Here is a 12,089-nt window from a genome sequence, read left to right on the forward strand (position 1 = left end):
TCAGTCTGCCCCTGCTGGGGGGTGCCTCCCAGTTAGGCTGCTCAGGGGTGAGGGGTCAGGGACCCACTTGAGGAGGCAGTCTGCCCGTTCTCAGATCTCCAGCTGAGTGCTGGGAGAACCACTGCTCTCTTCAAAGCTGTCAGACAGGGGCATTTAAGTTTGCAGAGGTTACTGCTGTCTTTTTGTTTGTCTGTGCCCTGCCCCTAGAGGTGGAGCCTACAGAGGCAGGCAGGCCTCCTTGAGCTGTGGTGGGCTCCACCCAGTTAGAGCTTCCCGGCTGCTTTGTTTACCTAAGCAAGCCTGGGCAATTGTGGGCCCCCCTCCCCCAGCCTCGCTGCTGCCTTGCAGTTTGATCTTAGACTGCCGTGCTAGCAATCAGTGAGACTCCATGGGTGTAGGACCCTCTGAGCCAGGTGTGGGATATAATCTCCTGGTGCGCTGTTTTTTAAGGCCGTCGGAAAAGCGCAGTATTCATGTGGGAGTGACCCGATTTTCCAGGTGCCTTACGTCACTCCTTTCTTTGACTAGGAAAGGGAACTCCCTGACCGCTTGCACTTCCCAGGTGAGGCAATGCCTCGCCCTGCTTTGGCTCACGCACAGTGCACTGCACTCACTGACCTGTGCCCCCTGTCTGGCACTCCCTAGTGAGATGAACCCGGTACCTCAGATGGAAATGCAGAAATCACCCATCTTCTGTGTGGCTCATGCTGGGAGCTGTAGACCGGAGCTGTTCCTATTCGGCCATCTTGGCTCCTCCCCCCTCTATTTAATTTTTAAACATTATTTATTTCTTGTTGTTTTTCTTCTTCTGAAAAAACTAAATTCTTAGTACTCAAATGAGTAGGTATAATTCAACAAGTGACAGCAGCCATAGATCAGTGACTTTGACAGCACTACTCAGCAACGAATCTTCCCAGCAATGACAGACATTTTGACACTCAACTTTTGATCATCAGTTCTTTGAAGAATAAAGATTTTTGATCAAAAAAGGGAAATGAGAAAATAAAAGAGCTTTTATCTGAGGAAGGCAAGTTCTACTAGTTATCAGGCCTAGACAATAAGATGAAACAGCAATCCCATCCTACTCTCCACTTTGAGTTACGTATTCTTCTCTTGAAACTGCTTGCTATTGTTACAAGTAGCTATAAATTACCTTAATAATGCCACACAGGACACTCTAACCTATACCCTGTAGCTTAAGAATGTATAGCCAATCATTAATAAGTGTTATTTCTATAAACCAATAAGAAACAACTTTCTATATACCAATGAGAAACAAACAAGTTTCTATCAGCCCACTCACTGTTCCCCCATTTTTTGCCTTTAAAAATCTGCTTGTAACTGCTGCTAATAGGAGTGTGTGTTCAGGGCACCTTGAATCTACTCTCCCGGGTTGCATTTCTCAAATTTGGCCCAAATAAACTCTCTACTTATATTAATTTTGCCTCAGCTTCTCTGTTTTAGGTCATCAGGCCAATTTTCTGAAGGGCCTTGGGAAATTTATTTTTCAGTGTCTTTAGCTTTTTTTTTCTTACTGTAAGATGGGATTAATGACTTCCAAGCTTTTTATGTGTTACAACTGAAACCAGAAGCCTAATCTTTTAAATGTATACGGTATTATGTGGAATATTTATTCACCTGGATTCTACATCAAACCAAAATTGAAAAGTGAACTATAATTTTTCTTTTCTGTCAATCTACAATTTTTCTTGTATTTTCTGCTGACTGAATAAAACAAAATATGTTTCTCCAATGAGAGTTTTCTACATAGACTGATCTGTACAACACCATCTTTATATTTTGGCAACATTCACAAATTATTTGGATAGGCTTTTTATTTTGGAAGATTGCCTCCACTCATTCTCTATTACTGTTCCCAAGTTTGGAGCTATACATAAAATTATTCTGTTTAAGCTTCCCATGAATGCCACAGATATTTTTATTTTAGTGGAATTGGGGAAAGAGATAGCACCTCTATATTTCCTTTTTAAAGCACATACTTTTCATTTAAGAGGTACAGAAATTACCACAATTAGTTCCGTTTTAATGTAATTACTTCTTAAAGATTATAAATAAGAATACAGGATATACTCATGGAAAAATATTTAGAGAAAGGAAAATTAGAAAAAGAGAGATTGTAAGTTTATACAATAAATAATATGCAAAATATTTTGAGAATATCTTAATAATTTAAATATCATAGTGTCACAGTGTTTGTCATTTCCATTCACTTGTTAACTATTCATATGTACATTTTTGCAGATATTCTTCATTATTCCATCATCATCTCAAACCTCTTGGGTATAGTGTTTGACTACTACTGTGACCATAAATTCCAATAAAACCTAGGAAAAATGAAACCACTACATTAACTGAAAGGGTAAGCAATAACAATAATATTTTCTAACTTCCTTGAATAAGAAGAATCTTGATGATGATTGTTATTTATTAATTCCAGAGAGAAAGGAACAAGCTAGTGAGTCAGGAGAAAGAATTATTGCTTATTAAGTTCATTTACTTCAATTGTGAGGAATAGAAAGTTAATGAGATTGAATAGGTGAGTGGCTAATACTTATGGAGAACAAATATTGAAATCTTTTAAAAATGATTTTTCAAACTTAAATGGCATAAAATTTGAGAATATCAATACTTTATATGAGTACCAGCATTAATGAGTCCAATTTACTCCCTTAAGCTTTAGCAAGCTCAAGTCATATATTTTTCATACAGAAAGGATATTATAAGCTCTTCCTTCTGCTGTGTTCTCATAAGTCTCTCTAATACTAGACCTAGGCCTGTATTGAGTGGAAAACTCAATGTAGACTTCAGAGTTTCCTGAAGAGAAAAGTTCAGGACTTGGTAACCCAGCCTTTAATTTGCATTTGAGCATGATAGTGTCAAATGCAGAAGGTGATCTTTTTCCACTCCTGAGAACAAAGGTGCTAAGTAAGTAGCCCCAGGTTCTACATTCCTAGAAGTGTCAGATTAGGGATTTTCCTTCCATTGCTGTGAGGTGACATCTCTCCAACCAACAATAGTAATATGACTCAGAAGAAGAGGAAGTCTCATTTTTCAAGAGGCCAAGATTCTTGGAATTGGGGAAGGGAACACTTCCCCAGACTTAAGAATGAGATGCCTGCCTTAGGGCATCCATGTGCCTACAAGAAAAAATTCCTTAGATGACTACCTGCTCTGCTATCAGAATTGCTGATGTCTCTCTATATTGCTGAATTATGGAAGACAACATTGGAGAAAACTTGTATGGTGGATTCTGCTCAGAAGGGAATAGTCCTCCACAACCATGTTCATTATTTTTCTTAACAACCCTTGACTTCTCGGTTTTTGATAGGTCAGGTGGAGCCCACATATACCTGCAGTCCATGCATTGATAGTGAATAACACATGAGAATTGAAGCTCCAGTTATGTAAATCAAAAGAAGGCAATAGGAGACAAACTTATGCTTCCAGGAAAATGGAGTAGACATACTTCTCCCAATTCTTTCTACTAAGTACAGCTAAAAACCTGGACATTAAATATAAAATAAATGCAAAAATACCCTGAATGTTGGAGAGAAGAAAGCAGACCAAGTAGGTACTTTGGATTAAAAAACAACACATTGGTGAGTTCCCTAGGTTTTATTTTTTGTTTTATATATACCAGTTTAGAGGCTGGAGAAGCCAGAACTCCGGAAGTACCAACACGTTTAGATGAAGAATGCCCTAACAAAAGCTCTTTCTCGCTTATGTAAGGAGTAGGAGAGGGACAGCCTAGCAAGAGAGAACCTTTAGAAAATAGTGACTACTTCAACCAAAAACCACGGAAAGAATTGTGGCCCCGCCCCACCCTTGTCAGCAAACATGAGTGGGGAGCCTAGATTTCTACTTTTTCAAGGCTGTAGCAAAGGGTCCCAACTGTCCCGTTAGGGTGGTGTCAGATAAGGCCATCTGTGCCTGGCATTAATGAGCCCCTTCCCCCTTTCCCACAGGATCAGTGTATGTGAGAAGTTTGGATTTCTACCCCCACCTGGCAATAATAAGGTACCCCTTCACTTTCCCACTGAGGTAGTTTCAGAAAAGACCTACTGTAAATATTTTCACAACTTCCCAGCAGTAAGGAAGTCACACCTCTCCCATGATGTCAGTGGTGACAAAGTATGGAGCACTAATGAAGCACTCCAGCCCACACCAGCCAGGAAGGTATAAGTGAAGGCTCAGTAAGACACCAGAATTTCCACTTCCACTTAGCAATAACAAAGAGCTTTCCCCATCAGGTGTCAGTGAAAGTTTATGGGGAACCTGGACTTCTCTACCCAATTGGCAGTAATGAGGTGGTACCTCCTCTTCTCACCCCAGACTGGTGTCAGAGGAAGACAGCCAAACCAGAAGGTGTAAATAAGATCTAAAATCTAATAAAAATGTAAACAATGTTCAGGTTTTAATAAAAACATTACTAATCATTATCAAGAACCAGGAAAGAAATTGAATGAAAAAAGACAACAGAGGTCAGCGCTGAAAGACAAATATTAGATTATCTGATAGTTTAAAGCATCCATCATAAAAATGTTTCAATGAGCATTTGCAAGCACATTCGAAGAAATGAAAAATATAGAAAGTCTCAGAAAAAATAGAAGAGATAATAACCAAATATTTTATTTTATTTTATCTTATATATTTTTTATTTTTGTTTTTAATTAATTTATTTTTTTTGAGATGGAGTTTTGCTCTTGTTGCCCAGGCTGGAATGCAATGGTGCGATCTTGGCTCACTGCAACCTCTGCCTCCTGAGTTCAAACGAATCTCCTGCCTCAGCCTCACGAGTAGCTGGGATTACAGGTCTGCACCATCACGTCCAGCTAATTTTGTATTTTTAGTAGAGACAAGGTTTCACCATGTTGGTCAGGCTGGTCTCGAACTCCTGACCTCAGGTGATCCGTCCACCTTGGCCTCCCAAAGTGCTGGGATTACAGGCATGAGCCACTGTGCCTGGCCATATTTTAGTTTATGTTATTATTTTTGAAACAGGGTCTTGCTGTGTCACCCAGGCTGGAGTATAGTGGTGCAACTATGGCTCACTGCAGCCTTGATTTCCCAGGCTCAAGTGATCCTCCTATCTCAGACTTCCAAGTAGCTGGGATCACAGGCATGCACCACCACACTGGCTAATTTTTAAATTTTTTTTGTAGAGACAGGATCTCCCTACGTTGCTTAGACTAGTCTCAAACTCCTGGACTCAAGTGACCCTTTCTCTTTGACCTTCCGAATGTCAGGATCACAGGTGTGAGCCACCATTCCCGGCCCCACATGGACATTCTTCAACTAAAAATATTCAATAAAAGAAGTAAAAACCAAATGGATGGGCTAAAGAACAGAATAGAGAGGACAGAGGAAAAATATCAATGAAATTGAAGATAGAACGATAGACATTATACAATCTGAACAATAGGGAAATTACACTGAAAAAAAAAAATGAACAGAGCCTCAGAGACCTGTGAGACTAAAACAAAAGGTATAACTTATGTATCACTGAAGTTCTGGAAGGCGAGGAGCCAAAAAGCAGAGCTGATAAAATACTTGAACAAATAATGGCTGAAAACTTCCAAAATTTGACAAAAGCAAAGTACTGTAGATTCAAGAAGCTGAGTGCATATCAAATAAGATAAACTCAAGGAAACCACACAAACACATTAGCTTCTGAAAAATAAAAACAGAGAAAAAATTTTGAAATCAGCAAGAGAGAAAAAACATGGGGGAAAATAACTCAAAGATTTCTTATCAGAAACTATGAAGGTCAGGAGGCTGTGACACAACATTTTTCAAGTGCTGAAAGAAAAGAACTTTCAGTCCAGAATCCAACATTAAGTGGAGCTATCCTTCAAGAATGAAGGGGACACCAATGCATTCTCAGATAAAGAAAAAATTAAAGAATTTGTCATCAGGAAACCTATCCTAAAAGAATGTTTAAAGAAAATTCTCTAAACAGAAAGAAAACAATAACAAATGAAATATAAAATCAAGGAGGAATAAGGAAATGGCAGCAAAAATGGCTAAATTTAATGTACTTTCCCTTCTAAATTATGGTTGTTGGTTGAAGACAAATTATAATATTTTCTGATGTGGTTCTCAATATATGTATAGGAAATATTTAAAACAATTTTAAATGGCGAGGATAAATAACTTAAAAAGGGGTAAGTTTTTATGCTTCACTCATACACCAATATACATTTGACACTAGTTTTTTATAATGTAATACCTGGTGCAACTACTAAAAATTATGTAAAAAGAAATACACTTAAAAATACTGCAGTTAAATTAAAGTAAAATTGTAAAAAGGGTGATTAAACTAAACAACTAAACATACTTCTAGCATATAACCCAGCTGCCATACTCCTTGGTATTTACCCAAATAAACTAAAAACTTATGTCCACTCAAGAACCTGCACATTGATGTTTATTTATAATTGCCCAAACTTGGAAGCAACCAAGATGTTTTCTAGAAGGTGAATGGATAAACAGCAGCAAATTCATACAATAAAATATTATTCAGCATTATAAGCCATCAAGCCATGAAAAACATGGAGAACCCTATTAAGTATATTACTAAGTAAAATAAGCTAAATTGAAAAAAGTAGGTACTGTATAACCCCAACTATATAATATCTGGAAAAGGAAAAACTATGTAGCAGTAAACAAAAATAACTGGTTGACAGGGATTAAGGGAGAGTGTTGTTCAAGGGTCAACTATATATAAAAAGTTTTACACCAGGTCCAAGTGGGATTATTCCAGGGATGTAAGGCTTGTGAAATGTTTTAAAATTATTTAACAAAATATACCATATTAACCAGCTAAAGAAGAAATATTACATGATTATATCACAATCAATGCAGAAAAAAATTTGATGAAACTCAGTACCTATTTGTGATTTTACAAACTCTTGGAAAAATAGAAATAAAGGGAACTTCCTCATCTTTATAAAGGGCATCTATAAAATACCTATGGGAAACATAATAAATAGTGGTGAAAACTCAATGTTTTTCTTCTAAAATTGAGGTTTAATACCATATGGCTACTCTCATCATTCTCATTCAACATGATGCTAGAAGTTCTAGCCAGTGCAATAAGGCAAGAAAAGGTCAGAAATGAAAAAATACAATTTTTATTTGCGGATAGCATGAATGTCTATGTAGAAAATCCCAATGCATCTACATAAAAGCTCCTAGAAATAATAGGTAAATTCAGCAAGTTACAGGATACAAGATAAATATACAAAAATCAGTTATATTTTTAAATACTACCAATAAACAAATAGACTTTGAAATTAAATATTGATTTCATTTATGCTTGCTCTAAAAATGAAATACTTAAGTGAAATTGAATAACTCATATACAAGATTTTATTCTCTACAAAACACTGATTAAAGAAATCAAGAAAGACCTAAATGAATGAGATGTACTATGTTCATGGATTGAAAGACTCAACTTAGTAAGGATCTCAGTTCTCCTCAAATTGACATACAGAGTTAGTGAAATCACTATCAAATCTCAAAATGTTTTTTAGATACAGACAATTATTCTACAATTTATATAGAGATATATGGGTTCTAGAATAACAAAAATCATGACAAATAATATGGCTGGAAGAATCATTTCATTCAATTTGAAGAGTAATTATATAGCTTTCTCTATATAAAATACAATGTATATAGAATACATTGTATACAATAACCATGACTGTGTGATATTGGCAGAAAGATAAGACACATAGATTGATGGAACAAAGTAAGGACCCAGAAATAAACACACACAAACATGCCTAACTGATTTTTGACAAGGTGGAAAAGCACAAAGGTGTAGAAAAGATAGCCTTTCAACAAATAGTGCTGGAGCAATTGGACATCTGTAGGCAGAAATATAAACTTTGAGCTATATTTCACATCATATAGAAAGATTAACTCATAATATCAATGTATAAATAAATGTATAGTTTATATACATCTACAATTTAAAAATATAAAAGTTTTACAGTAAAACTTCAGAGAAAATTTTCAAGATCTAGAGGTAGGCAAAGAGCTCTAAGACTTAACAGAAAAAGCATGGTCTATTAATATAAAATAAATTGATAAAGTGTAATTAGTCAAAACTAAACATTCTTGCTCTGCAAAATACCCTTCAACAGGATGAAAAACAAGCTACAGACTGGGAGAAAATATTTGCAAATGATATTTTTCACAAAGAATTAATATCTAGAATGTATAGGGAACTTTAAAATTCAACCATAGAAACCATGTCATTAATAATCCGATTAGAAAATGGGTAAAAAAAACCTGAAGAGATATTTTATAAAACAGGATATAAAAATGGTGGATACACATGAAAAGATGTGCAATCTCACGAATCATTTAAAAAATGTACAACAAAACCACAATGAGATAACATCACATACTTATCAGAATCGTTAAGATAAAAGTGAGTGACAAAACCAAATGCTAGTGAGCAGGCAGAGGAACTAGATTATGCATATACTACTTGTGGCAATGTAAAAATAGTACAGCTACTCTGGTAATGATTTTGACAGTTTCTTCAGTAACCAAACATGGAGCTACCATATGATTCAGCAATTACACTTCTTAGCATTTATCCTGGAGAAATTAAAGTTTATAATCACACAGAAAAAAAAAGCTTATAGCAGCTTTATTTGTAAGAGCCAAAAATAGAAATGACCCAGATGTCCTTCAGCTTGCGAATGGTTAAATAATCAGTGGTTTGCATGGAGTACTATTCAGTAACAAAAAGAAATGAAGTATTGATACATGCAAAATTTGGATGAAGCTCTACAGAATTATTCTGAGTAAAAAGTCATTCCTGTATAGTTACATAATATGTAATTCCATTTATACAATATTATTTTAATTAACATCTTTATATAAAATCCATAAACCACAAAATTCACCCATCTAAAGTATAGAATTCAACGGTTTTAGTATAGCATAGAGTTGTGCAACCATCGCCAAAATCTAAATTTAGATTATTTTCATCCCTTCATAAAGAAACCCCTTACCCATTAGAAGTCATTCTAATTTTCTTCTCCCAGCCCCTGAAAACCACGAATCTGCTTTCTGTCTCCACAGATTTACCTATTCCGCACATGTCATGTAAATTGAATCATATGCATGGCCTTTCGTGGCTGGCTTCTTTTACTTAACATGAGGTTTTCAAGGTTCATCCTTTTTGTAGCATGTATCCATATGCCATTGAACGTTTCTGGCAAATAATATTCCATTTTATGAATATATCACATATTGTTTATCCATTTATCAGTTGATGGACATTTGAGTTCTTTTTACTTTTTGGCTGTTATGAATATTTGTGTGCAAGTTGCTGTAAACATTTGTGTGCAAATTTTTGTGTGGATATATTTTTTCCATTTTCCTTGGGTACACAATAAGGAATTTCTTGGTAATATGGTAACAGTATAGTCCGCTTTTTGAGGAACTGCCAAGCTGTTTTCCAACGTGGCTGCACTATTTATAATCCCACCAGCAATGTGACAGGGCTCTAATTTCTCCACACTTTCATCCACACTTGTTATTATCAGTCTTTTTCTTATAGCCACCCTAGTGGATATGAAATGGTATCTCTCTGTGATTTCAACATGGATTTAACTAATGGCTAATGATGTTGAGCATTTTTCATGTTCTTACTGTCCATTTGCAAATCTTATTTGGAGAATTGTCTATTAAGAGTTTTTGCCCATTATAATTGAATTATTTGTCTTTTTACTATCAGGTTTATATATTCTGGATACCAGGATTATATTATCAGATCTACTACTTGAAAATATTATCTCCTGTTTTGTGGGTTGTATTTTCACTTTCTTTGTGGTATGATTTGGAGCACAAAGTTTTGATTTTGACGAAGCCTCATTTATATATGTTTTTCTTTGTTGCTTGTGCTTTTTGATCTTATAGCTAACCAACCAAGGTCAGCATGGTGCAAAGAAGTGGTCTACATTTAACATTTTGCAGGTGGATATCCAGTTGTTCCTGCCTCTTTTTTTTGAAAAGACTATTCTGTGCTCATTGAATTGTTTTGGCATGCTTATATAAAATAATATAACATTCGTGAAGTGATAGAATTATTGAGATGGGTAACAGATTTGTGTTTGCCTGGGGTAGCTGAGGTGGTAGAGACAGGAGGTAAGTTGGTGTTGCTATTAATACAAAAGGGCACCATGAGAGGGTGGTGATAGAAATGTTCTATGTCTTGATTATATCAATGTCCTGTATTCTGGTTGTGATATTGTACTATAATTTTGCAAGTTGCTACCACTGGGTAAGTGGGTAAAGAGTACATGAGCTCTATCTGTATTATTTCTTACAACTGCATACGAATATAAAATTATTTTAAAATAAACACTTAAAAAAATAATGCACTGGGAGGCTGCTAGCAGGATCAGTTGGAAGATGTTGCCAAATCTTAGAAGTGACCACCAAGAGTCGCTGAATAATGAGTCCCTCATGAATGAGACAGAAATGCTATTGCTTATTTTCAGAACCTGGTGGTTGTGGCCATTCAAAGGGAGAACTGTACCCTCCTGGATGGAGTCTGCTCAGTTCTCTGCTTCCCCTTCTCTCTCCACACTCAAAATAGAGCGATTGACAGGAAAAGGTGGGCAGTAGTCTGTGAGAACCGGAGTACAACCTCCTTCTACTTCTTGAGCAAATGCAGGATGGACACAATATCTTTGAAATAACTCACGAGACTAAAATTTCAAAATGAACACAGCTGAGTTTAGAATCCAAAATGACAGCTTTAATAACTAATATAACTAAAATATTCTTGATTCTGACTATGATTAAGTAGTGGGAGTCCACTAACCAGGTACATATGGATATATTTAACATAGTATCGTAAAATTGGCAGCCATTACTGAAAAACAATGACATAGTTTCATTTCATACTCTAATGAATTGTCTTGCTGAAATAAGTCAGTTGTACATTGTAAAAATGATAGAAGAAATTACAGCCAGGACAGAATAGCTGAGAGGATATTTGCATCTTCTACCATAAAACCTTTGTCGTCTCCTGTAGGAGCTTACTCACTTCTTGGGAGTACTTTATTAACCCCTTGTAAAGGCAGAAATCCCTCTGCTCTTCACCAACCTCTCAGAACAGTAGTTCCTCCCTACCTTCAGTGGGGGATACATTCCAAGACCCATACTGGATATCTGCAACTGTGGAAGGCACCAAATTGAAATTCTTTTTCACAATTTCATGGGTAGAACATTTGTTCTTATCATAGACCTTAGCAACCTCAGCTTATGATTTATTTTCTTTCTGTAGTAAGTGGAGAATTTTCACCTTTTTACTTGAAGGAAGGATTTGACAGCTTCTTTTGGGCATATCAGAATCGCCAGCATCACTACTCTTGCACTGTGCGGCCATTATTAAGTGAAATAAGGATTACTTGAACACAAGCACTGCAATGCCGCTACAGTCAATGTGATAACCCAGCTGGTGACTAAGTGACCAAGGACGGGGAGTATCTACAGCGGGGAGACTCTGGAAAAAGGGAGGATTCACATCCAGTGCCACTGGGGCAGGGCAGAATGAGAGTTCATCATGCTACAAAGAATGGCACAGAATATACGACTTGTGAGTGGATTATCTCTGGAATTTTCTGTTGACTACATTTGTACTACAGTTGTATGTGGGTAACAAACTGTGGAAAGTGAAACTTCGGGTAAGGGGGAGGCTACCGTAGATAGCCCAGTATTTCTTATTTTGTGGATTTGTTTATCTTTCTGCTCACATCCTTTTCCTTCTGCATTACCATTTTAGTAAAAATAGATAGCATCCATTTGGTGTTTAGTATGTTTTTGGCACAGTCGAACATTTTACAAACATTATATCATTTAATCTGCATAAAACCTATACAGTAGGTACAACTATTATCCAGTTTTTTAGACAAGGCAAACTGGATCACAGGGAGTTCAAAACGCCTCTTCCCTTGGTCAAGTTGGGTCATGTAATTGTCAAAGTTAAAACATGCCCCTTAGGAGATGATTTAAAATTCCCTAATTTTTTAGAA

General features: G+C 36.2%; 1 long non-coding RNA gene across 2 annotated transcripts in view; it reads left to right on the forward strand.

Moving 5' to 3' along the window:
• Positions 1–11,858, forward strand: part of LINC02842 (long intergenic non-protein coding RNA 2842) — a 77,208-nt gene extending 65,350 nt beyond the window's left edge. The window contains exons 4-5 of one of the 2 annotated variants that reach the window (NR_187554.1): positions 2,263–2,380; positions 11,342–11,858. This is a non-coding gene — a long non-coding RNA (long intergenic non-protein coding RNA 2842). The remainder of the gene's footprint in view (positions 1–2,262; positions 2,381–11,341) is intronic. The other variant, NR_187553.1, reaches the window with a different exon arrangement.
• The last annotated feature ends 231 nt before the right edge of the window (positions 11,859–12,089 follow it).

The sequence above is a fragment of the Homo sapiens genome, chromosome 8 (assembly GCF_000001405.40).
Source record: "Homo sapiens chromosome 8, GRCh38.p14 Primary Assembly".
Lineage (NCBI taxonomy): Eukaryota > Metazoa > Chordata > Mammalia > Primates > Hominidae > Homo > Homo sapiens.